Here is a 25,629-nt window from a genome sequence, read left to right as displayed (position 1 = left end):
GCTCTTTCCCCAGGTCTTCCTTCCATAAACTGGTTCTTCCTCACTATTCAGGTCTTAGGTCCTGAAGTTTCTTCTTCAGGAAGGCTTTCATGGGCTACATCCCAAAGCCCATACTCCCCATGCTCCCGCATTAGTCTTTTTTGCATTATTCTGGTATATTTTCTTTCACACTTAACCATTATCTGATTTTTTGTTTACTTTTTGATTTTACTTACTTTTTTTATCTGTGACCTTGACTCTCTTGTTCATCTTTATGACCTTAGCACTTAAAGTACTTCCTGGTGTGCAGTAAATGCTCAATAAATATTTCTTAAATGAGTAAATTAATGAATATATAAATGGATATATCCAGCCATAAAGGATAGCAATGGGGCTCACTTCTCAGACCCTGGACTCAGACTGCATGAGTTCAATACCCCCATTCTGTCCCTCAGTAACTGAGACTGTGGAAAGATACACAATCTAAGTCTCAGTGTCCTCATTGACAAGATGTGGGTGACAATAAATCCCTCCCTTTTAAGAAGTGCAAAGTGCTGAGTAGGCAGTTAGTGCTCAATAAATGCTTTATAAGTATCATTCTTTTTTTAAAATCATTTTTCCTGTAGCCTCATGTGCCATGACTCTCTGTTCTTCCCTGCAACTCCCAGGGCCTTCTGTGAAGTCACAGCCTGGTGCTCTGTTTTCTTGCTGTGCTGCAGGTTCACTCTGTATGCTGTGGATACACGAGGGAGGCACTCAGAGCTAAGCACGGTGACCCTGAGGACGGCCTGTCCACTGGTAGATGACAACAAGGCAGAAGGTAGGTAACCCAGTTTTTCAACTCCAAAGTAACTCCCATATTTCCCCTAAGTTCTGCACCCAACAGTCACTAATCATTAAACACACACACGCACACCCTGACACACTGGCACAGGGAGAAGAAATTGAAGGCACTAAGGGAACAGGAGGAACATGGAGCTAAATTAATCAAAGTCATGAAGGGAAAAATTAAGATTGACTAGCAATGTCTTTGGCAGTGGAAAGACTTGCCTCCTCTTTTAGAGAGTTGATCTGTGTTCTGACTTACAGGCCACAAATGGTAGGGAGTCAGAGCCCCATAACTGTATCTTGTCCCTTGGCCTAGATTTCTCAGGGACCAATCATTTTCTCCCACTTGTCGTTGCTAGAGTAGCAAAGAGATGGCACCTAGAAAACCATTTCACCTTGTGGTGTCCATAGCAGACATCATTAGCAGATCACAGCATGCTGTTCCATCCAGTCCCATGGTGGTCTCAGAATCCTTAGCATAGAGCTACCATCAGTGATTATCAGTCAGTTAGCATGCAAGATTAAATGTTTTTGCTGCTCCTGGTTCATGACATAAACAGCAGGCAAAAATAACCTGAAAAAATATAATCAGTCAATCAGATCCACCATATACTTTGTTCTTCAGCATTGTGTAGATGCAGTTTCTACATCAAGTCTAGCAAAATGTGACAGTGGCTCATAAGTCCTGGTGGTCTACTTAAAGTTGAACAATTATTTCTCAAAAGTCCAAGCAATGCAGTAGAGACATAGTCTCCCCTTTTAGGAATTCACATTATGGGTGGTGAGACAGACATTTCTGCAGATGGCTCAATAATAAACTCAATTATAAATGTTTTATGTGCTACCAAAGGGGAGGGGATTCGAAACATTTTCCTGATAAATTTTTAAAAATATTATTTTAAAATAACACGTCCACTGTCAAAAAAAAAAGTACAAATAAAAATCAGAGTAGAAAATAGTGTAACATAATGGGAGGAGCATAGTGTTCCTCCCATTTTTACTCTTAAGTTTCCAGATTCTCCTAGCAGCAACTGTTGTTGGTAATGATTTAGGACCACATACAGATTTTGACAGGGTTTTTGAAGCTGGAAGAATATGCCTTCTACTCATGATGTATTGAAGTTACTTTGATTAGTAGGACTAACTGAAGCAGTAGGAATAGCCATGAACAACAAGCAGAAGAGTTTGGATTATCTTTGAAAGGTGTTTCAAATGGGGACCTATCAGACCTGATCACAGAAATGTGTTGGAAATACAACAAAGGGGAAATAGAAGGAGGGTGTTGAGATTATCCAAGACAATTTATTTAAGCCAATTGTATGTAAAATCACAGGTACAATAATTATATTGATAATTAAGCTTGCAATTATGAGCACTAACTTTGTGCCAGACCCTGTGTTGAGTGCTTTGTATCCACTCTTTAATTTAGCTCTCCCAATGCACCTCCAGAATAGACATCATTACCTCCAGATGACAGAAAACCAAACACAACCAGTCAATAACATATTCAAGATGAAATTAAGGTTTGTCTGCTCCCAGAGCTTATGCAAGCAAACTTTCTCACCACTGTGCCTTTCTTATTGAAGCCCATGCTTATATCCTTACTTTTTTTCACCACCCAGTGATCTGTTTCTGCCCTTCTGCCCTCTCAGAAATAGCTGACAAGATCTACAATCTGTACAATGGGTACACAAGTGGAAAGGAGCAGCAGATGGCCTACAACACACTGATGGAGGTCTCAGCCTCGATGCTGTTCCGAGTCCAGCACCACTACAACTCTCACTATGAAAAGTTTGGCGACTTCGTCTGGAGAAGTGAGGATGAGCTGGGGCCCAGGTATGGGCGTATTTGTGTGATTGGAGGGGCATATTCTTTTTGCCTCCAGTTGACTTTTCTGGACCCTTTCCCCATAGGCTGAGACTAGGCTTTATCAAGTAAATAAGGGTGATTATCACCTTGGTCGTGTCAAGGCTAAAGATAGAAAATAGGCAGAGATAATGAAAGAATCTTGGAACTTTAGATTCCTGCACTCCTGGAATGTTGAATGGGGAAAGGGCATTGATGCTCTTTGCATTAATCATTCTCCTTGCTCATCTCCCACCTCATTTTACAGATAGGAAACTTAGGCTCTTTGAAGGCCTGTATCCTAACCAAGATCACAGAGGGGAACAGCAGTGGGGCCATGACCCATAATCCAGGGCCTTTCTCAGTCTTCCATAAGAAGTCTGAGTTTTTTTACAGTAAATAGCTATGATTTTGACTAAAGTCCATTAGTGAACATGACTATATAGATTTATGAATTCAACATGTATGAAGGCTTTATTTTTGTCCTGCATGCCAGTCACTATGCCAGGAACCATGAATGATTCAAACAGAACTAAGGCACAGTCACTATTTTCTAAAGCTTCATAAAGCAGTATATGCAATGGTGGCTGCATTTTATGTCTTGCATCTAGCAACATTCATCCATTCAGCATATACTTAACAGCACCTCTTATGTGGTGGCTGCTGACAATGCAACGATAAAAAGGTAGAAATGGTTGCTACCTATACATAGCTTCTTGTTGCATAAACAGGCAGTTATGTAGAGCAGGAATAATAAGCGTCATGATAGCAGAAGAACAGAACTCTTTGGGAACATACATGAGACATAGGCATCTGGTCTAGGTCACCCAATGAAGCTGCACTGGGGCTGAGAGACTGATGCCTAAGGTTTGAGTTGGGGTAAGGTAAGTGAGGGTTGTGGGGGAAAAGGATGGGTATTTGGAGCAGAGAGACTACCTGACGGAATGCTCAGAAGAGAAAATGTTACATGACAGTGGAAGTTTTCTTCTCAACTTTTGATCACTTGCCTACCACTTTTATGACTTTTGTCATCTCACCACCATATACACTTTATTTGGTATTTCTTTCTTATATTCACTTCTTATTAAAAATGTATTTGAGGCCGGGCGCGGTGGCTCACGCCTGTAATCCCAGCACTTTGGGAGGCCGAGGCGGGCGGATCACGAGGTCAGGAGATCGAGACCATCCCGGCTAAAACGGTGAAACCCCGTCTCTACTAAAAATACAAAAAATTAGCCGGGCGTAGTGGCGGGCGCCTGTAGTCCCAGCTACTCGGGAGGCTGAGGCAGGAGAATGGCGTGAACCCGGGAGGCGGAGCTTGCAGTGAGCCGAGATCCCGCCACTGCACTCCAGCCTGGGCGACAGAGCGAGACTCCGTCTCAAAAAAAAAAAAAAAAAAAAAAAATGTATTTGAATAGAAAACACAACATCATCTTGTAAAGGGAAAACCAACATCATCTACCCTTAATAGAAAATTAAACCTAACCCTTCAAGACAATGAACAAAAGCAACAAAAGTGGAACAAGACAAAAAACAGAAAACAATGTTGTTCAATTCTAGCAGAGCCTGAAGCTGTCCCTTCAAAAGGGAGATTAGTTAGAGAAATGTTAAAGACACAGCCCCAAACCAAGATTTTCTTTTCTTTTTTTGACATGGAGTTTCGCTGTTATTGGCCAGGCTGGAGAGCAATGGTGCTATCTTGGCTCACTGCAACCTCCGCCTCGTGAGTTCAAGCGATTCTCCTGCCTCAGCCTCCCAAGTGGCTGGGATTATAGACACCCACCACCAGGCCCGGCTAATTTTTAAAAAATATTTTTAGTAGAGAGAGGGTTTCGCCAAGTTGGCCAGGCTGGTTTCAAACTCCTGACCTCAAGTAATCCGCCCATCTCAGCCTCCCAAAGTGCTAGGATTACAGGCGTGAGCCACCGCCCGGCCCAAGATTTTCCTTTTGAAGTAACCTGAAAGAGGGGAAGAGAATGAAAGAGCTAATCTAGCCACTTTTGCACACATGATTCATTTTTGTTTAATATTGGGTCTGTGATCATCTTGAGTACCACCTAAAATCCTTTCCCTACCCTAGAGGAACTCGGCCTACACTTTGGTAAACACTGTGTTTGGAGCCACTGAAGAATTTCTGTGTAGTGGCAGCAAAGTGTGTGACAGCAGGAGTGGTAAGAGATAAGAAGGGGGAGGTCAGTGGGAGCCAGATCCTGAATGTCCTTTAAATTAGGTTAAGAAGTTGGGATTATCTCCTTAGGGTAATGGTAAGCTTTTGAAGTGTTTTTCACAAAAAGGAGTAATATTATCAGACCATTAAAGGAGAAAGATCCCTCTGGCTTGAGTATAGGTGTCAAGGTAAGAAAGCGGCAGTGAGGCTCTAGAGGCTGTTGTGATAATAGTCCCAGGAAGACAGCATAGCATTCTAGGCCAGGGTGGCATTGGTGCATTGGAGAGAATCACATGACTTCTTGAAATACTTAGTGGGCAGCACTTCATGATTTAAAAACTTCAAAATGACCATGTAGGGTATTCATGCCATTTTTTGGACGATAAGGAAATTGAGGTCCCATGGGGCAAAATGAGCTGCCCAGAGTTGTGCAGAGTTTGACATGGAGGCCAGTTCTGCCTTGAGCTCTTACCTTGAGCCCTTAGAACATTTGCAATGGCCCTCCAAGAATTTGAGGCTCTCAGGGACAGAGATGAGAGCTTGGTCCAGGGATAAAACGGATCTCTGTCCAGCGCAAGGCCTTATCAGTTATGTTGGGTCCTGGACTTTAACTTTCTCCCTTGCACATGAAAGGAAGGTTCTTTAGATAAAACCTAAAAGAGGGCCAGACTGGCGGGCAGAAGTGAAGAGCCCCAGATGAAAGCCGCTGTGTGAGTCATCTCAGCTGCCATCTTGCCTGTGGACAGAGGAAGGCATTCCAGTTTTTTGGGCTTTCCCACAGGGCTCAGGGAGTTTGTGTGGAAGCTAAACCACAGCTCCACTTCTGACTTTGTCTTTACAGCCTCCTGGAATCCTTTATGAGCCTCCAGGACATAAATCTTCTGGAAAGGCGGCCGGGCCGCCCACAGAGGCCAGGCAATCCACTCAGTAATGGTTTGTGATAACCCGCTAACCCCTAGTCAGGCAGTCACCAGCCACTGTCTGCGAACCTCCCCACCCTGTCACCCAGCTTCCTCCTCCTCTGGTCTTTCTAGTCTCCTGGAGGATATCTGAGATTGCTCCAACATCCCACACTGATATGTCAGCAGGAATCAAGGAAACTGCCTCCTAATCTATCCTGGTGCTGCTAATAAGCTCACTGTGCAACCCTGGGCTCTGCCGCTTTCTGGCCCTCAGTCTCCTCACCTATAACATGATAAGGACGAACTAGAACAGTGGTATTTTTTATTATTATTATTATACTTTAAGTTTTAGGGTACATGTGCACAATGTGCAGGTTAGTTACATGTGCCATGCTGGTGCGCTGCACCCACTAACTCGTCATCTAGCATTAGGTATATCTCCCAATGCTATCCCTCCCCCACCCCCACCCCACAACAGTCCCCAGAGTGTGATGTTCCCCTTCCTGTGTCCGTGTGTTCTCATTGTTCAATTCCCACCTATGAGTGAGAATATGTGGTGTTTGGTTTTTTGTTCTTGCGACAGTTTACTGAGAATGATGATTTCCAATTTCATCCATGTCCCTACAAAGGACATGAACTCATCATTTTTTATGGCTGCATAGTATTCCATGGTGTATATGTGCCACATTTTCTTAATCCAGTCTATCATTGTTGGACATTTGGGTTGGTTCCAAGTCTTTGCTATTGTGAATAGTGCTGCAATAAACATACGTGTGCATGTGTCTTTATAGCAGCATGATTTATAGTCCTTTGGGTATATACCCTTTTTTTCTAAATAAATCTTACATGGAATCACAGCCCACCTCCACAGAGAATTCTCTAAAATGTCCGCCCATTTGCTCTGTCACACCCTAATGGTTTAACTATCTTTCCTGCACTTACTAGATTTAGAATCTTATATTGCTTGTATGTTTACTTACATATTATCTGTCTTCCCTACTACAATGTAAACTATGTATAGTTAGTGATCCCTTATGTCGTATTCACATTTGTAAGTAAGTGCTAAATAATTAGTTGTTGAGTAATTGAGTAATGAGATGATTTAAATGTGTGGACCAGATGACTAAAGATTTGTTCTGGTAGAAACTGGAGTGGGTGGCCTGGAGTCCCACCTGCTGGGTCTCCTCTTCTATGCCCCTCCACCCCACCCAATCCCAAGCATCCCTTATGTCTCTCCAAGCCCTCAAGAATCTTTAGATCACAGATGGAAACAATTGAATTCCATGAACTCTGAGGTCTTCTAACATTCCAAAAAATGCAATGTCCTTGCAAATATTAAAAGACTTGAAGAGATCTCACTTCATTGATTGATTGATTCATTGATTCATTTAATGTGCTAACTATGTGTCAGGCCGTGTGCTGGGGGCTAAAAATACAGAGTGAAGATGGCAGAGATCCTGCCTTTACAAGGTTCAGCATCTAGTGCGGAAAAGACTGGTCAGCCAGCAATTGCGGTGGCATTTGGCATGTGAATGGACAAGCGTTTTAGAGCAGTGCTTCTCAAACTTTAACGTGCCTGAGAATCACCTGAGGACTTGTTACATTCCAAATTGACTCAGTAGTCTGGGTTAGGTCTGAGATTCTGCATTTACTGAATTCCATGAACTCTGAGGTCTTCTAACATTCCAAAAAATCCAATGTAACAAGCTCTCATAGTGATGTTAATGTTGTTGGCCCCAAAAGCATACTTGGAGTGACAAGGTTCCAGATGCAGAAAGCTGGAGCAGCTAATCCAGATCTGGAGCTCAAGGAAGAATCCTTGTAAAAGAAAGAATGTTTCTAAGTTTAGAAACAGAATGAAGAAGGGTCCTCCAGGTGGAAGGGAGAGAGTCTTCTCATCAGAAGGAATTACCAATGCAAAGATGAGAGAAGTTGGGTAAGATAATATACTTCAGTTAAAAATATAAATCTTATTGGAGAAGAGAGTTCGAAGTGAAAGAGGAGAGTTCAAAGTGAAAAGGAAAAGCAAACAAACAAAAACAACAAGGCTGGGTTGTTTAGCAAAGGACAGATCATGATGGTTCTTGTGAGTTCTGTTCACAAGTTTATTCTTTCTCCCAGAAGCCATATAAATGTTTTAAACAGAGGAGCAGTTTGGATACATTTGCTCTGCCTTTCAAGGATTAGCAAGTATGCAGAACATCACAGTGTAAATAAGAGAGGGTAAGATGCTTCTCCAAAGCCAGGAGCCCAGGGCTTCTGTCCTAGCCTTGTCACCTACTTGTTGTGTGACCTTGGACACAAGCCATCCCCATTCTGGACCTTGTTTGTAACATGAAAGGGCTGAACTCCAAAGTCTCTTCCAGCTGGGAAGCCAAGGAACCAGAAAACCCTGAAGGTCATAGAGACCAGAGAACAGACACATTGTTAGTATCATTTGACTTCCAGCCCTGCACGTCTTGTTTCTGAGGGACCCAGGTTGACTAGAGGGATAAGAGTTTTTTCCAGGAGTACTTTGAGGACTGATATAAGATGAGCTCTATTAGGATTCTCTTGGACTGTGTAATCACTAAACCCCAAAATGTTTTCAAATCTTTCCTAAATCTGTGGTCATATATCCCCATAAGATTTAGTGACGAAAGGACATCTCTTAACCTCTGCCTAATAAATCTATCAGGCCAGTGTCCCCCAGAGCCTGGTTCTTACGACCACAGGTTACTGCAAACAGCTGCTCAAAGAAGACGCACTGACACCCAGCTGTCCCCAGACATAAGGTTCCTATTAGGAGACTTGAAAAACTGAGCTCACTGGTGGCCAGGGACCAGAATTTTCTCGGGTCAGAACATCCTTGACCACTCTTGGGCTTCTCTACACTTTCAATTATGTTTGAGCATATTGGTAGAGAGGACACAGCAAGCTCTTGAGGACATTTTGCTTCAGTGAAATTGATCTATCTGGACCAGGAATGGTGTATTTATGATGTCAGCTCCTCTTGCCTCCATGGCAGACATTACGAATAGATCGCAGAAATCATCACAGGATCTTTCTCAACGTGCCATGGGATTTGAAAAGAGTTACACATCCACTGCTGTGTTCTTAGTGAAAACAAACAAACCTGGGATGTCACTGTACATTCCTCCAAGATTGTGTTAACTGCTTCTTTGGATATATTGAATTAACTCTCAGAATTTTTAAGATATTGGGAACAAGAGCAGACTTAGGCTTCTAGGGTCATATTCCTATAATCTCAGAGGTACTTTTAACCTTTTTCTGTATATTTTGGCATTTCTAAAATCAGGACGGATTGTGCACAGTGGATGTGTACATTAAACATTGTATTCCTCTTTTCTTGAATGGCTGTTATTAAAGCATGGGTATATCTTATAATTGAAGGTATCTTCAATTATACCTTCAATTAACAAATAAATACTCATACTAATACCAACTAACTAATACTAACAAAACACACTGACTTTGGACTTTGAACTAGTGTCCCATGGATCTGTTTTCCCCACCGACAGTATATAGCAAGGTTAGTTATTTTCTTGAAGTTCCTATCAGTTCCAACTGAAATAGCTCTGGATCAGTTGAGACTCAGTCATTTCTGTTATCAAAGAACACATTTTTGAAAAGTCTTATGATTTCTTCTGAGTGGATGAAAAGAGAAAGCAAATGCGAACATTTTCAGTGGGCACCTTACAAATCACATTTCAAACCTGGTGTTAAAGGTATATAACCAGTGGCAGTATCTGAGCTTCTGACTTTGTTGGATAGGAGCAAGCTGAGGCTAAATTTGATATGGGTTTATTTTGAAAGTAACCCTGATGAACTACTGGAAAGTCATAAAACCATGGCTTCATTGCACAAGTTCATCACACCAGCTTAAAAATATATGTGTATATATTCATAGTTTAAAATGAAAATACCTTTATTTTATTTTGTTCTGAAATAATTATTGTTCATTATATAAAATCCAAATGATACAGAAATATATAAAATAATGAAAATTGTGCACCTCTGGGCCACATAATCCCAACCCTACCCCAGAGATTACATTGTTAACAGTGTACACATGTATTTCTGTATACAGATATGGATATGCATGGAGATGGGGAAACAGATACAGGCTTAAGAATATGTTCATGTCTACAACCACAGCTCTTTCATCTCTACTATGTTTAACAAATACATAAGTTATGTTCTGTTATCTGCCTGTTTCTGTTTAACAATATGCTTTACAAGTTTTTACCCACAGATACGTATGTAAATGTTTTATTTTTTTGAAGGGTCCTTTAGTCATGCAAATATGTGAATGTATCACTCATTAATCTGGTTGTGTATTAAAAACCAACTAGATTTCTTACAGTTTCTTTGTTATTATAAACAAATCCACATAAACCTTTTGCCCACTTGCCTGATTATTTCTTTAGGTCCACATGATGCTTTTATGCCATTTCATTCCCTTTATTGACCTCTGCTGAAGAGTTGCTGTGTTTTGAAAGCTAAGGACTGAAAATTTTCTCAGTTCAAGTCACTTTGCATTTATTTCCTTCCCTTCCTTCCTTCCCTCCTTCCTTCCTTTCTTCCTTCCTTCCTTCCCCAAGATGGAGTCTTGCTCTGTCACCCAGGCTGGAGTGCAGTGGTGCAATCTCAGCTCACTGCAACCACTGCCTCCCAGGTTCAAGCAATTCTTCTGCCTCAGCCTCCCAAGTACCTGGGATTACAGGCGCCTGCCACCACACCTGGCCAATTTTTGTATTTTTAGTAGAGACGGGGCTTCACCGTGTTGGCCAGGCTGGTCTGGAACTCCCGACCACAAGTGATCCGCCCACCTTAGCCTCCCAAAGTGCTGGGATTACAGGCATGAGTAATCCCAGTTTGCATTTATTAATTCATTATTCTTGCACAGTAAAGAGCTGGACACCAGAGGAAACCTACACTGTCCAAGAAGCAGGTGGGAAATATTAGTTGAGCACCTGTTATTGGCCCAGTTATTTATATTTCATTTAATATCCTGAACAATAGATTTTGAAGGTTAGGCAACAGAGAATTGTGGAGTTATGTAAACTGTCCATAGTTGCAAGGTCTAAACACTAAGTGTTGGAGTCCGAGTTTAGAATATTGTCTTCTGATATTCAACTGGTGTCCTGTAAAACCACATTACATCCCAAGATATGTGCACACTAAGAAAAAATGTGATATGGATCTCCACAGATAAATAAAATGCTTCAGCAGCAAATGGGAAAACATGACTTATGATAGCTGGGAAGATCTGGAAGACTTCCTGAAGATGAAATTTCAGTGTGACTTTGAGTCATGAATAGAACCTCAGCAAAAGTGGTCCTCTCAGCTCAGGAATTCAGTGCTTGACAATTGTGTCACAGCAAATTTTGTTGTGAAGTGAGTGGTCATCAGATGATATTTCTCTGTGAATCAAGGCTCTCATGCCTTTTAGATTAAAAACAAATAAACAATGACAAACGCCTGCTACGACTCCCACTGTAGTACACCCCTTTCTAAAACATACTTGATTTAATCACCTCCAGTGATGAGGAACCCGCTGCCACATAGAATAACCCTTTCTAAATTTAGAGGACTTTAGCTTTACATTTTTTATTATTTTAAGCCAAATGTGTCTTCTGATAATTTTAGGGTGACTGTGTCATAATGTTTTGATGCCTTACAGCAGAGGATTGAAACCCCGCCCTATCCTCCTGTCACCCTGGTCAAATCAATGACTGGCTTGAAGCTCATTTTTATCACCTGTAGACTCTAAAATTGGGTTAGGGATTAGATGTAAAATAATGTTGCATAGGTACAGTTTCTGGCACATAGTGGGTGCTCAATAAATTGTAGTCATTATCATCTCTGACCCGCAGATTGTTGCCCACTTGTCTTTTGTTGCTACAACAATGTAACTAATGGCCTAAATCTTCTCTTCCATGGGCACTCTCCATTCCTGCTTTCAGCTCAGCAGGCTTGCTTTTGAAACACCCCTCAGTATCATGATCTGGCTGCAATTTACATGTGTCCCTCTTACCAGAAGTGTCGGGGGTTCTCCAGATGGAGCCCGACGAGGACACCATGAATGAAGCCATTACTTCCCTTAACCTCTGCCCTCTCCACTTCTGAAGGTCATGTTCCCATTTTTTTGCAACCACATCATGTCCTCAATTCTCATTAAGCTTCGGGACAGCTAACACAGAGACACTTAAGCTCAACTCCGTAAGGCAGGGAGGAGGGAGGGAGGCGAATGGGAATGTTTTCTTCCTGCCTGTCTTATTTTTCTCCATTTCAGGGTCCCCTTAGAAATTGGGTCTCTGTCCTGTCTGATAAGTGAGTCAACAGCTGATTGGGAAATGGTGCTGGGAATAGAATGGTTCTACAGTCCCGGAAAAGTGGCATCTGGGCCCAGCCCCTGACTCTTTCACAAGCGATTCCTGTCTCAGTCTTGCCTGCTGATAAAACAATAAATTAGTATGTGGTGGCCCTCCCTCACCTCTTGCTTCCTATCCCAGTGGGTCTGAGTCCTATCTCCAATGAGGAAGATTTCATTTCCGGTATTTGACAAAAGTGGTCACTGACCTATGATTTCCCCTCCAGGGAAAGCTTGAAGCATGCCTGACCTTTTGATTTATGGATCTCCATTGCCTACAATTTATTAGCCAGCATTTTTGCCTTTGGTCTCTCTCACTCCGACTCTTCCTTCTCCTCCCCAGCCTTCGAGCACCTCCAACCCTTCTCTCCATGGCTTTACTTTCTGAATTCTTCTTTGTTTTCTAAATGCAAACATTGGTTCAGTGCCTGTTACGTACAAAGTCTTGTGTTGGTTGCTTGTAGCCATCATTTCATTTCAACCTAACAACAGCCCTACAAAATAAATATTTCTATTTTCATTTACACAGGAGAAAACTGAGGCTTAGGGAGGTGAAGTGACTTGCCCTTATGGACTCTAAAGCCTATGTGCTTTTCACGATAATATTCTGCTTTGAATCATTGCTGACACTTACTTAGAGCTAAGCAAATTTTCCTTATTATCTCATCCTCCCAGCAAAACCATTATTCACATTTTATGGATGCTACAACTAAGAGTTAGTGGCATTGAATAATTTGCTCATGAACCACATAGCTGTAAGTTATAGAGCTGGGATTTAAATCTGAGATTCTAGAGCCAACACTTCATCTTCACCCTGGAATCAGGAACCCTGGTTCTAGCTTTGCCTTTGTTACTACTCAAGGTGTTCCTTAAAGGCAAAATCACTTTCTCACTCCAAATATGTTTTCCTAATCCATTCAAAAGGAGGCTTTGTCTGTTCCTTTGGAAGAAGGGCATTTGGGCATGTTGGAAGAATTGTCTTTTCCAACTTCATTTTGTATTTATATTTATCGCTTACTTCTGTGACTATCTAATCAGAAAATGTCTCTCCATTGCCCAGAATAAAATCCAAATACTACATCATGGCTTGGAAGAGTCTGCCTGGTCTGATCCCTGCCAAGCTCACTGGTCTCCCTATTCTTTGCACTGGTTATTTCAAACAACTAGTAGTTTATGTTCTCTCCGGTCTGACTTGGGATGGGCTATTTCCTCTGCCTTCTCATCTACCTGAAAATGCTGTTTCATTATTGAAGAACTAGCTCAGGTGTGGCGTCCTCTTGAGAGACTACTCTGAGTCTCCAAACTGATGACTGGTGTCCATCTTTTATATTCCCAGAACAGCATACGTAGTGTTCCTCAACCCAGTGCTCTGCCCCCGAATTAGAGAATGTTAATATTTCTGTCTGCCTGTCTCTTGTCACTGAGTTATAAAGATACCCAAGGCTTAAACTAGTTCATATCTGTCCCATTGCCCAGTACACAAAATACACCTAATGATGTAATAATGATGATGACAATGAGAGTGATGGTGGTGGGAGTAATGATAATGGTGATGATACTTTCTAGCAAGCATCAGGTGCTTGCTTTGTGCCAAGTAATTTTCTAAGAGTTTGACGTGTACTGACTTAACCCTCACTATAACTTTATGAGGTGAGCCATCTGCTGTTCCCTTTGTATAGATGAGCAAACCAAGAATAAGAAGCTTTTTACCAGTGTAGAGAAAAATCAAACCAACACCTGTAAGTACAACAGTGGGAAACAGTTAACACCTGAGTGTGCACTCCACTTGGTTACTTTTTTTTTTTTTTTTTTTTTCAGATAGAGTTTCGCTATTGTTGCCCAGGCTGGAGTGCAATGGCACGATCTTGGCTCACTGCAACCTCCACCTCCTGGGTTCAAGCAATTCTCCAGCTTCAGCCTCCCGAGTAGCTGGGATTACAGGCATACACCACAAGGCCTGGCTAATTTTTGTATTTTTAGTAGACACAGCGTTTCACCATGTTGGCCAGGCTGGTCTCAAACTCCTGATCTCAGGTGATCCGCCCATCTCAGCCTCCCAAAGTTCTGGGATTACAGGTGTGAGCCACTGCTCCTGGCCTCCACTTGGTTTAATTCTGTGTTTTGCCTCCTTCCGCTCAGTTCTCCTCAAACAACCAGAAATATTTTTAAACAGTTCAGCTCCAAACCTGTTACTTTGCTTCTTGAAATCTTTCAATAACTCTCCCACTTACTCTCAAGACAATAATCATAGATAACATTTATTGACAGTTTATTATGTGTCTGTTAATTTTTTATTTAAAAAATAACACTTTATGGTAGATACAGTTATTATTTCATTTTGTGGGTAAGGTAAGAAAACTGAGGGACAAGTGGTAAAGCACTTCACTCAGTATCACACAGAGTGAGTGGCTGAGCTGGGATTTGAACCTGAGTAGTCGGTGTTCTGGAGCCTGTGGTTGTATCATTACTGCATACAACCACTGCCCTAGTTCCTAGGCTTCAACAGGCTGGCTATGGCTCCTTCCAGTTTTCACTGTGTCCCCACTAGTACACTGTATTGTAGCCATAAATTCTCAGAACATCTATGCATCTCTTGTCTCTATGCTTTTACCTTTACTTTTTTTTTTTTTGAGGTGGAGTTTTGCTCTTGTTGCCCAGGCTGGAGTGCAGTGGCGCGATCTTGGTTCACTGTAACCTCCGCCTTACGGTTTCAAATGATTCTCCTGCCTCAGCCTCCTGAGTAGCTGGGGTTACAGGTACCCACCACCACGCCCAGCTAAATTTTGTATTTTTAGTAAAGACAGGGTTTCAGTATGTTGGCCAGGCTGCTGTCGAACTTCTGACTTTGTGATCCACCCGCCTTGGCCTCCTAAAGTGCTGGGATTACAGGCATGAGCCGCCGTGCCCGGCCACCTTTTCCTCTTCTTTATCTAACTCCTATTCATTTAGGAGGCTCAACACATGTTTCCCTACTACTATAATAGGAAGCCTACTTGGACATCCTTGATCCTACTTAAGTACCTTCCTCTGTCTTCACACAGCTCTCGTGACTTCTTTTATAATTGCTTTTGTCATTCGTATTGTCATCTCCATTTGTCCATCTTCTCTACCAGAAGTTCTGCCACATAATAAATGCTCAACAAATCAGCAAGAAATGACTTTATCTCCTTCAACTTCACAACAGCCTCATTTTTCAAATGAAGAAACAGATTTAGAGATGTTAAGTAAATGTCCCCAGGACACAGAATTATTAAAGAATGAAGCCAGAACTCAAATGAGAAGGAATGGAAAAGAAACTCCTCAGGCTCCTCTTGGGGGGGGCACTTGCCCGAGGGGAAAGAGGACTGTGGATAGAGTGTGGTTATGAAGTGATGAATTCTTGGCACCTCAGGAAATATTCCACCCAAGTGGTGAACTATACAAAGAGGACTTTTTGAAAGGCACCTCATAAATTGTGCCCACAAAATGTATACACATAAGCTCGGTCCTTTTTCAGCTGCTATGCAGGTGCCTAACACAGTCTCCCATTTGTGGGGTCTGTTGTTGTAAAACTCCTTCCCTCCTGTGGTATCAGAGGGACATGGAGAGGACAGCAGGAGAGAGAACCTCTCATGTAGCCTCCCAGGGTGCCTGGCATCTTGAAGATGCTGGAATGCAGAGAAAAGTGGTTTCCACATGGAGACAGACACCTTGACACTGAAGCTGACTTGTAATGTGACCTGGGATAAAGATATTCTATTCCTTCTCTAAGCCTCAGTTTCCACATTTTTAATGAAAGTGGGTCAGACTAGGTCAGTGGTTCTCAACTTGGGTGATTTTGCCCCCAGAAGATATTTGGCAATGTCTAAAGACAGTTTCACTGGGGCAAGAGTGCTATTGAAAATTCTTCAATGTCTAAAGAATTTTCACACTTCACGACCGGGGCAAGGGTGCTACTGGCGGTAGGTGGGGCCCTGGGATGCTGCTAAATGTCCTATAGGATTGTTCCCACAACAAAAAAATATACAGCCCAGAATGTCGATAATGCCACCTTTGAAAAACCCTGGACTAGGTGATTGCAAGAATCCTTCCTGGCTTTATTTATCTGTGCAGCCATCAGATCTCTCCCAGCTCCCCTCTCTCGTGCTGGATATAGGGCTCTAGATAAGTTCTTAATGATGTCCTCCATAGTACGGAATAATTCTTGGTAAGGCTGGTCTTCAGCATAACCTTGATCCTGAGGGCGCATTCCAGCAATCCCTTATAAGAGTAGCTATCATTTATTGGAAGCTTACTCTGAGCTCTATACCAGGCATTAGGCATTTCTCTTACTTAACTTGAGGATAAGACCATCATCACTTTTTTAAAGGTGGGAAAAAATGAGACACAGAAAAGTTCTGATTTGGGGACATATATATATATATATTTGATGAAAGGGAATCACAAAGGGCAAGATTTCAAAGTTTCCAGACTGAGAGAAAAGAGTGTGAAATAGTTCATGAAGTGAGAACACAGACAGTTAGAAAGGGACTGTGGGTGGTCAGGCCTAGATTTAGATTCTTCCCAACTCCAGTGGCTGACTCGATGTTTGCCTTAGTCAAGTAATGTCATTATTCTGAGCCTTGCTTGAGCTCCTCACCCATTAAAAGGGGGTAGACAATACATTCAGGATAGTTATAAAGGCTAAATAAAAAATGTAAAATATATGTAAAATGCATACCCAGTGTCTAGCATATGGTGTCAATAACTTTTGGTTGTTCTTGTTGCTTTTTAATCATTATAATAATACCTATTTGATCAGAGTCCAAGGCTGGTCACCTTTGAACTCCTAGGGCTCCCATATCCTAGAAGTGAAAATACTAGGTTAAAGGCTCTACCTCTTTTTCATTTTTTAACACATTGCACAATTGAAGAAGATAGGTTCTAGGGCAATTTTTGAATCAGTGTTTGAAGTACCACACTCCAATCTGGAGTAGATAGGAAATGGTTGGGAGAAGTTACCATTTGTTTGTTGACATTTACTACCTCAAAGGTCTAACTCTTGATCTGGACTTCTTTAATCATGGCTGTCTCATCCTACCTTTCAGGAAGGCCCACCTGATTCTACGGCGACTGGAGAGGGTGAGTAGCCACTGCTCCAGCCTCCTGCGGAGTGCCTACATCCAGAGCCGCGTGGAAACAGTGCCCTATCTTTTCTGCCGCAGCGAGGAGGTCCGGCCTGCAGGCATGGTGTGGTATAGCATCCTCAAGGACACCAAAATCACGTGTGAGGAGAAGATGGTGTCAATGGCCCGAAACACGTACGGGGAGTCCAAGGGCCGGTGAGGGAGGGTATTGCCCTCCGTGAGCACAGAGACTCTCCATGGGAGGGGGAGCAGTATTCTCCTGGATCCTGGGGCCTGGGTGGGCTGGGGGACAGCTGAGGATGGGCCTAGCAGATGAAGCTTGCCAGCAAGGCCAAAGCAAACGGTTTCTCCTGTGGATAGTGGACAGAGACCTTTGTAACCAATGGAATTATTCATTTTTCTCTATCTTTTATTTTTTCAAAGATATTATTTGACTCTATCAAAAGTCTCTCCTTTTTAAACCTTTTCTTATGGATGGCTGTCAATCCCGAGGCAGAAGTTTTCAGGTGGAGACCAAGCGGCCTTTGCTCTTCTTCCTTCTTCCTGCCACACTCTGCTTTCTTCCTGCCATGGACCCCTGGAGGAGACCTATGGAGGGACAGTTTTGACCTGACCCCTAGAGGAGACAGTTTTGACCTCTTCAGCACCAGGAAGGAAGCTCTGAGGATGGTTGCAGTGAGGAAGCATGGGTCTTTAAGGACTTCTCTCTCTTTTTTGCTGGACATTATTGAGTTTGTGGGACCCTGCCTCTTCCTGCTACCTGTGGGTCTGCCCAGAGTCCCTGCAGGCCTGTCCATGCATTAAAAATTCCTATTGTCTCTCTTTCTGCTTGGGTGGTATTTCTTACCAAGGGAATGTGCTTGAGAGACCTCTGTTTATTCACTTATTGAGTATCTACCCTGTGCCAGTCACAGAGCATATGCAACTAAAGACAGAGAAGCTTCCTTCCCTCAGGGAACTTATTGCCCAGTGGAAATTATAGAGAAGGAGTCTGGTCATTTCAAGCTGTGCTAGAGGAAGAATGGAGGTTCTTTGCACTCACTGTTAGAGCATGAGACACACTGGAGGGCTCCTGAAATGCTTCCTTGAAAAAGTGATACCTAAACCCAAAGGATGAGTAGAAATAAGCCAGACAGAGAGGTGAAAAAGATGGGATTTGCTTGCCAGGCACAGTGGCTCATGCCTGTAATCCTAGCACTTTGGGAGGCCAGGGCAGGTGGATCACTTGAGGCCAGGAGTTTGAGACCAGCCTGGCTAATGTGGTGAAACCCCGTCTCTACTAACAATACAAAAAATAAAAAATAGCAGGGCATGGTGGCACGTGCCTGTAATCAATCCCAGCTACTTGGGAGGCTGAGGCATGAGAATTGCTTGAACCTGGGAGGCAGAGTTTGCAGTGAACTGACATGGAGCCACTGGACTCCAGCCTAGGTGACAACTTAAAAAAAAAAAAAAAGATGGAATTTGCTCCAGGAAGAAGAGATATGAACAAAAGCCCAGAGACAAGAGACAGTACACCTCTTTCAAGGACTGAAAACTTTCCTTAAGAGTAGGGATCAAAATAGGAAGTGTTAAAAGGTGAGGCTGGGAGCTTGGCAAGGCATTGGAAGCTTTGGGCAAGAAGCTTGATGCTGCCTTGAAGCATCCATGACTATTTATATGACTAAATAGTCAACTTACTCTTTAAGAAAATCATTCTCACTACAGGGTGAAGGATGGATTGGAGAAGGCCCCAAAGAGAGGGGTGCCATTGTCATTTTCCATGAAGGAGGTGATGATAGCTTAGGGGGTGACATACCAACACTGGAATCTCCCTTTATTTATCTATTTTTAAAACAGCTTTATTGAGGTATCATTGAAATATCCTTTTAAATGGTAATTGCACTGCTTCCAGTGTACCCTTCCCTGGGAGGGTAATGAGTATGAAGAGATGTTATAAATTCTTAACACCCTCATATTAGCTCAAATAAGCTACCTAGCTTGAGCAGATGGGATGTAGGTCAGGTATATCATAATGCAAAGATGACACCTGTTAAGAGAAGAGAGTGTAGCACTGTGGGGTTTCAGAAGAGGAAAAGATACTGAATATCAATAAAACATAAGCCATTCAAAATATGCCTATCCTCATTTGTGTAGTGGTGAGTAAAAAAGAAAAAAACCATGCCTACTTCTCAATTTGGCAAATGTTGATGAGATTGACAATCCCCTTCCTGATAACCTACATATTGAGCGCATTTTTTTCCCCAGGACTTCAATCCATATGGGGAAAATGGGTAACACAAAAGAAAACAAAGCAGAAAGAGATTCTTCCAACCTTGGTGCCTGGGAAGCTTCTCAACCTCTCACAATCTAAGCTCTAAGGCACTCTTTCAGGAAGTTTACTATTATTGGGTTTATGTTTCTCTAAGTATACAGGTGGAGCTTCTAAATGCCTCTCATGTATACCACTTCCTGGGTATACATGGGCCTTCAGAGAGCTATCAGTTTGCTGGGCCTGGGTCCCAAGTTTTCAGAGAGCTATCAGGTTGCTGTTGCTTTCCATTGTCTTGACCCAACCCGAGGAACAATTTAGCTCAACAGTTGCAGAAAATTACAGCACTCAATGTGCTGGTGTGGTGATCTGAGCCTGATTAAGTTTGAATCTGACAACACTGCTATTCACCAGCTATTGCCCTTAAGGGAGTAACTTGACATCAGGTTTCTCATCAACAAAGTGGAGTCAATGCTGGTCCCACCTCAAGGGGTTGTTTCCCAGCTTGAATGATAAGGGAGTTAACATGCATCCAATGCAATGTATAGTGTTTTTATTTTATTTTTTATTTTTTCTCCTGATGGAGACAATATGCATAATACTGTGAGTCTTGGGCAGACATCCAGGAAAATCTGGTTGGGAAAGACCTAGAGAATTCTGATTAAAAGAAAGAATTAATGATTTTCAGCTCTGTCAGCTATGTGAATTGTAACTAGTGTCAAAAACTTAAAGAGAAGTGGTCACCATGGTGGAATTTAATGCAATAACAAGACCCCCAAAGAGAAGTGTGTCGTTAAAAAAAAGAAACATTCTTGACCTGTAAATGAAGCTATTGGGTATGGTGCCCTGGCCTCTGCATGACCAGATTGATCCATGCACTGCCACGGAACTTGCCAGGGAAGCTCATGTCACAATATGCTGGCAAGGATGAGACTTCTCATGTAGTCTTCACCACCATATAGAGAAGTTGTGAACACACAGATGTGTGTGTTAGGGGTGCATAGGAAATCACCCCTAAATGACCTCATCCTTCTGGATGGTCAAGAATTATCTTCTCTCAGCAGGCTTCGTGATAAAGTGTGCACTACAGACAAATGCTGGTAACTACCATTTAAGGGATCCTCATACCGATGGCTCTACATACTTATCTCATTTAACCATGAGCAAAACAGTCATGTGCTATTGTGGCGATCATTTTACAATTCAAGAAACTCCGGTTTAGGCAGACTGAATAACCTGCCCCAAATCCTGTAGGTAGTAAGTGATGGTATTGAGATACTGAGATCTAAACTTGAGCAGACAAAGTAATTCCAAATGATGAGCACTGTGTATGCACACTACCTGCTAGGGCTACTAAGTGCAGTGCCTCCCTTCTCCATCTTAAGTCAAAAACTAAGTCTAACTTCCAACCAATACCAGAGTACTGATTTCCAGGTTTGGGGTACTAACATGAACAGGATCCAGCTCCTCCCCTTAAGGAACTCCCAGAATTTAGCTAACTAAATACAGCAGGATAAAATCAGACACTCTGGAGTCAAGCCAATCTGGGTTTAAATATTGGCTGTGCAATTTACAGTGAGGCAGGGCCAACCTTTAAGAGAAATTTAGGAGGCAAACTCAACAGACATTGCTAACTAATAAGCTCAGGTTAGCTGGCATTAACTTAACCTCTCTAAGCCTCACTTTTCTCATCTGTGAAAGGGATAAATATACTACTTCAAGACTGTTGGGAAGATTAAATTAGATGATGTATATAAAGCCATCGTGTACTTGAAAACAAAAGTTCTTAGTAAATAGTTATTATAATGACTGTTTTTTAAGAGATAGAGTCTCACTCTGTCACCCTAGCTAGAGTGCAGTGCAGTGGTACTAACACAGCTCATTGCAGCCTCAACCTCCCAGGTTCAAGCAATCCTCCCACCTTAGTCCCCCAAGTAGCTGAGACTACAGGCGTGCACCACCACACCCAGCTAATTTTTGTAATTTTTTGTAGTGTAATTTTTCTTCATGTTGCCCAGCCTTGTCTTGAACTCCTGAGCTCAGGCAATTCTCCCACCTCGGCCTCCCAAAGTGCTGGAATTATAGGCATGAGCCACTGTGCCAGGCCTATAATGACTTCTTTACATGAGAAAGGGTGGGTGCAATGGACTCTGCCATTGGAAGGCAAGTCATCATCAGGAAAGCCTTCATAGTCAAAGGATTTATAAGAGTTTAGTAAGTACAGTAGTAGAAAAAGGGCATGAGGGACAGAGAGACTAGCATATTGATGAAAAAGTGTGCCATATTTGAGGGATAGTGAGCAACTGGTGTGGTCAGGGAGATGGAGAATGTGTTTGGAGAAGTTGTCAGAGCCAGACCACATTGGCCATTGGAAGGCACTGGACTGAAAGCAGAGGTGTGACATGGGCAGATAAGCATTTTCAAATGCCCCTCCTGGGTGCAGAGTAGGAGAGTGGGGAGGAGAGAGTGGGAAGAAGACTAGATAGGAGACTATAGGTATTGTTTAGGAGGAAGATGAGGAAGCTTGAGCTATGGCCATTGCAATGATGAAGCTGGATCTGAGAGGTGTCAAGGAAGTTGACTCAATAGGATTTGCTAACCAAAGCCTGATGACTTGGGTTTTATCTTTCCCCACTGCTGACTGAGTGTTAGACTGGGCAGAACTAGATGGGGCATGAAGTGAATGATGAATCACATGGGTTCAACGGACAGTGTGCATGGATGAGGCATGATTTGCATCATGCAGAAACAGTCATTGGGACAGCAGAGAGCCAAGAATATAATTTAGCTTTATGTGAAAACCATTCATGGCCCTGAGTGTAATTATGCACAAATGTGCTATGACTTTCAAATGCAGGTGTGGGAACCATAGCAAGGGGCTTACGTAAGTAGTGTAGAATTTTGTGGAAGTGTAAAATACTGGACTTATAGAAATAGTGCTGAATTCCCTCCTTCTCCTCCTCTCCCTCCTCTTCCTCCTTCTCCTCCTCATCATCACTATCCTCATCCTCATCACCATCATTATTTAATTGATTGCTTACCATAAGACATATTCTTTACATAAACATCATTTCATATACTTTATAAATTATCATTTCTTTCAAAAATATGGGAAATGAACCTAAAGGAATTTAAGAAACTCTCTGGTCTCAGGCAGCTAGTATGTGGCAGAACCAAATTTCAATCCAGATCTCACTGGACTCCAGAATTTTAACTACTATGCTTTATTGTCTCCTCAGGTAGAGACCTCTGGTCTAGTCTTGCTCCTGAAGTAGAGCTGCTATGTGACCTTGAGCAAGCCGTTCACCCTCTGTGGGCCCTGGGTTATCCATGTGCCCCCACCACACTAGGGGAGATCTATGTGTCATGGATGTGAAACATTATATCAGATGATGACTCAGGTACAAAGAGCACTTTTAATCTCTCTTTTATCTTCACTACCTCCCTTTGAGATTGACAACAGCAGGATAACTGTCTCTGGCCAGTCTAGAGAGGGTCACAGCCTCAGCCAGGTTGCAGCAGAGCATGGAGACCTGGAGTTCCCTAAGTCTCAGCTTCTTCTGCAATACCACATTCCCAGCCAACTGTACTGCCCAAGAGTCAACCCCAGTCCCTGTCCTGACCACACAAACCATGGGTTGCTGATGGTTCGGTAGCCCTGGGCAGGTGACAGCCTGTTCATGCCTTGGTTTTTCTCTCTGCTACTTAAAGGAAATAGTCCTCCATAAGGTTTTTCTCAGGATTAAATGGGTCAGTTTACATTAGATACTTATAACAGCACTTGGCATGTGACATGCAGTTTACAGATGTTAATTGTTGTAATTCTTATACTCAACTCCCTACTCTTCAGACACACAAAAGTCTCAGAAATGCCTTTCGCTCATCCTCTCTCATCACTTGCATGTGTTCTCCCTCTGGTGGGAGTGGAGTTCCAGCTTGGGCAGATCCACCCTAAATGTCATCCACTGGCTTCCTGAGGCCTTTTGCCTTCTCCCAGAGGAGCTGATAACTCTTCTCTGAGGTCTCACAGTGGGGACTCCCTACTTTCATTTTAGCCCTTTCCTCACTCAATGCCATTCTTTCCCAAAGGACTATGAGCAACACAAGGGCATGGTCTGGTTAGAATTCCTTCTGAACCCTGGAGCCTTGCCCTGGACCTAGCCCATAGCTAAAACCCATTGAAATTGGGCGTCAGGGCTCAAATGAGGAAATCCTGAAGGAAGATCCCCCAGCAGCACTGTGAATGTCCAGGATCCCTCAGGAACAGTGGTCCTTCCAATTTGCGCTGTCAATGCAGCCTACAAGGGGCCTGGAGAGAAGTCCACAGCCAAACAAAACCCACGGGCTTTGTGTGGGGGTATGCTTTTTAATTGGCCTCTGCCCATAAAACTGCCAGACCCTGAAAGGCGTTCACTGTCTGTCTCCCTTTGGAAACTTTGCTCCAAGTGTTTGTACATGTTATAGCCAAAGCCAAGCTGTTCTGTTTTCCTGTTTTACAAGAGTTGGCAGCAGGGGAGGGCAAGGGGCCACAGGTGTGCTCTGCTGGACAGGGAGGCATGTATGCCTCTGTGTGTGTGTTTGTGTGTGTGTGTGTGTGTGTGTGTGTGTGTGTGAAACAGGGAGACTGGGGAGGTTGTCAGTTTAGGTAGTCACAAGCACCCCAAATGGTAATTCAGAATTCAGATTCTGGACCCAGTCCTGACACTAACAGGCTGCTGGACTCTAGTTTCTCCCTAGTCTTGCCCTCGGTGTCTCTTCATAAAGAGGTTAGCTGGACAAGAACTTCACTGAAGAATCCTTCAGCTTTACTAATTGTTTTTTCAATGTCTCGGGACTGCAACTGGAAAAGAAGAGGGTAACCAACTATATATATTTGTGGAAGAGGAGGATGTTTACAGAGCAAACTCCTGGAGGAGAAGTGTTACTTATTCTAGGAAAGTTGCTCTGACCATAGCTCCAAATTCAGGACAAGAGTTCGTCCTTTCAGTTCTCACAATCCCCACATATCTGTGATGTTCCTACTTAACCCATTGGGTTTTAATTGTGCCTTTATATATTTGTTTTCCCCTAATATATGTGAGCTCCTGGATGGGGCTATGTTTTATGTCTCCAGGGCCCATAGGTTAAACCATACAGTAGATACTCAAAAAATGTGTGCTCATACTACTCCATGCAGTTCCAAAGTCATTTTTACTTAAGTCTTCCGGAATGGGGCTCCTGATCAACACTTTGTAGTTGAGGAAATAGAGGCTGAGATATGGGTTTGTGTTCATGCAGGATCTCCAAGCCTGAGTAAACTGTGGGCTTCTTTCTTCTGAGTCCCAGACCAACTCACTTTGGAGTCTACCAAAAGGCTCATTCATGAATTTGCTAAGGAGCCACTGAGGGACTAAAGAGATGGTGGGTATAGGAACTAGAAAAGTCCAATCAAATGTAAGGCCTTAGCACTCTCCTCCTTGGTCAGAGAGGCTGATCTCTTGGGGATTCAGATTAGAAGGACAAATTTCAATAACAACCAGAGCAGCAATTGCCCTTTGTTGAACACTTTCCATAGCCAGGGTCTGTGCTAAGCATGTTGGTTGGAGTATCTCATTTACTTGTCATACATACACCATATTGTAGCTGTCAACACTTCCATTTCACAGAACAAGTCTTGAGGCTCAGGGAATTTAGGTGATTTGCCTGGAGTCATGCCATTAGGAGAAAACTAGGATGCAGTTCTCGCCTAAAACATGGTCACTCTACAGCAACATTCTCATAACTCCTCCAGAGGCCAATGCTCCCATGTTATAAATATGGAGACTGAGGGTCAGAAATGAAAAAGTACCCATCCAAGATCATAAAGGTGCCAGAACCAAGAGTAGAGTGTTTTTTTATTTTATGTCCAGTGCATTCCTGACCCCGTGGTAACCCCAGGCCCATCTGCTTTTCTGACCTTTGGGCAGTTAGAGAATAATAGGGGGAAAACCTTACCTCTTCTCAGAAATCAAGGCAAGTGCCAAGTTGGGTTAGCCTCCCCAGGCAGTTTTGTAGCACAAATACCAGCCTGGTTGCTGCAGTTCACTAGGTTTTATGATCAAGGATGACGTAGTTTCTTCACTCTCTTGCAAGCTATTCAACTCCACAGTCAACGAACAGCCTTTCTGGGGCAGAACAAGAGGCAGGTCTTAGAGGAG

General features: G+C 42.8%; 1 protein-coding gene across 7 annotated transcripts in view, besides 1 other annotated feature; it reads left to right on the top strand.

The window, feature by feature from the left end:
* The window catches only part of ASTN2 (astrotactin 2), a 991,946-nt gene extending 971,806 nt beyond the window's left edge, over positions 1-20,140 (top strand). For 3 of the 7 annotated variants that reach the window (NM_014010.5, NM_001365069.1, NM_001365068.1), the window contains 3 exons: positions 699-799; positions 2,460-2,643; positions 17,164-20,140. In NM_014010.5, coding sequence (NP_054729.3) covers positions 699-799; positions 2,460-2,643; positions 17,164-17,401 — 523 coding nt within the window. In that variant the 3' untranslated portion in view covers positions 17,402-20,140. The remainder of the gene's footprint in view (positions 1-698; positions 800-2,459; positions 2,644-17,163) is intronic. The other 4 variants (NM_001184734.1, NM_198188.2, NM_198187.3 and 1 more) reach the window with 4 other exon arrangements.
* Positions 20,265-20,521: a silencer, noted in NCBI's record as "fragment chr9:119185010-119185266 (GRCh37/hg19 assembly coordinates)". NCBI's record gives its function as "represses an EF-1alpha promoter that drives an FKBP-Casp9 reporter gene in an ReSE screen in HepG2 liver carcinoma cells {active_cell/tissue: HepG2}" and the evidence as "EXISTENCE:reporter gene assay evidence [ECO:0000049][PMID:32094911]".

The sequence above is a fragment of the Homo sapiens genome, chromosome 9, assembly GCF_000001405.40.
Source record: "Homo sapiens chromosome 9, GRCh38.p14 Primary Assembly".
NCBI lineage: Eukaryota > Metazoa > Chordata > Mammalia > Primates > Hominidae > Homo > Homo sapiens.
Note: the sequence above shows the minus strand (reverse complement) of the source record. Positions and strands in the feature narration are given on the sequence as shown.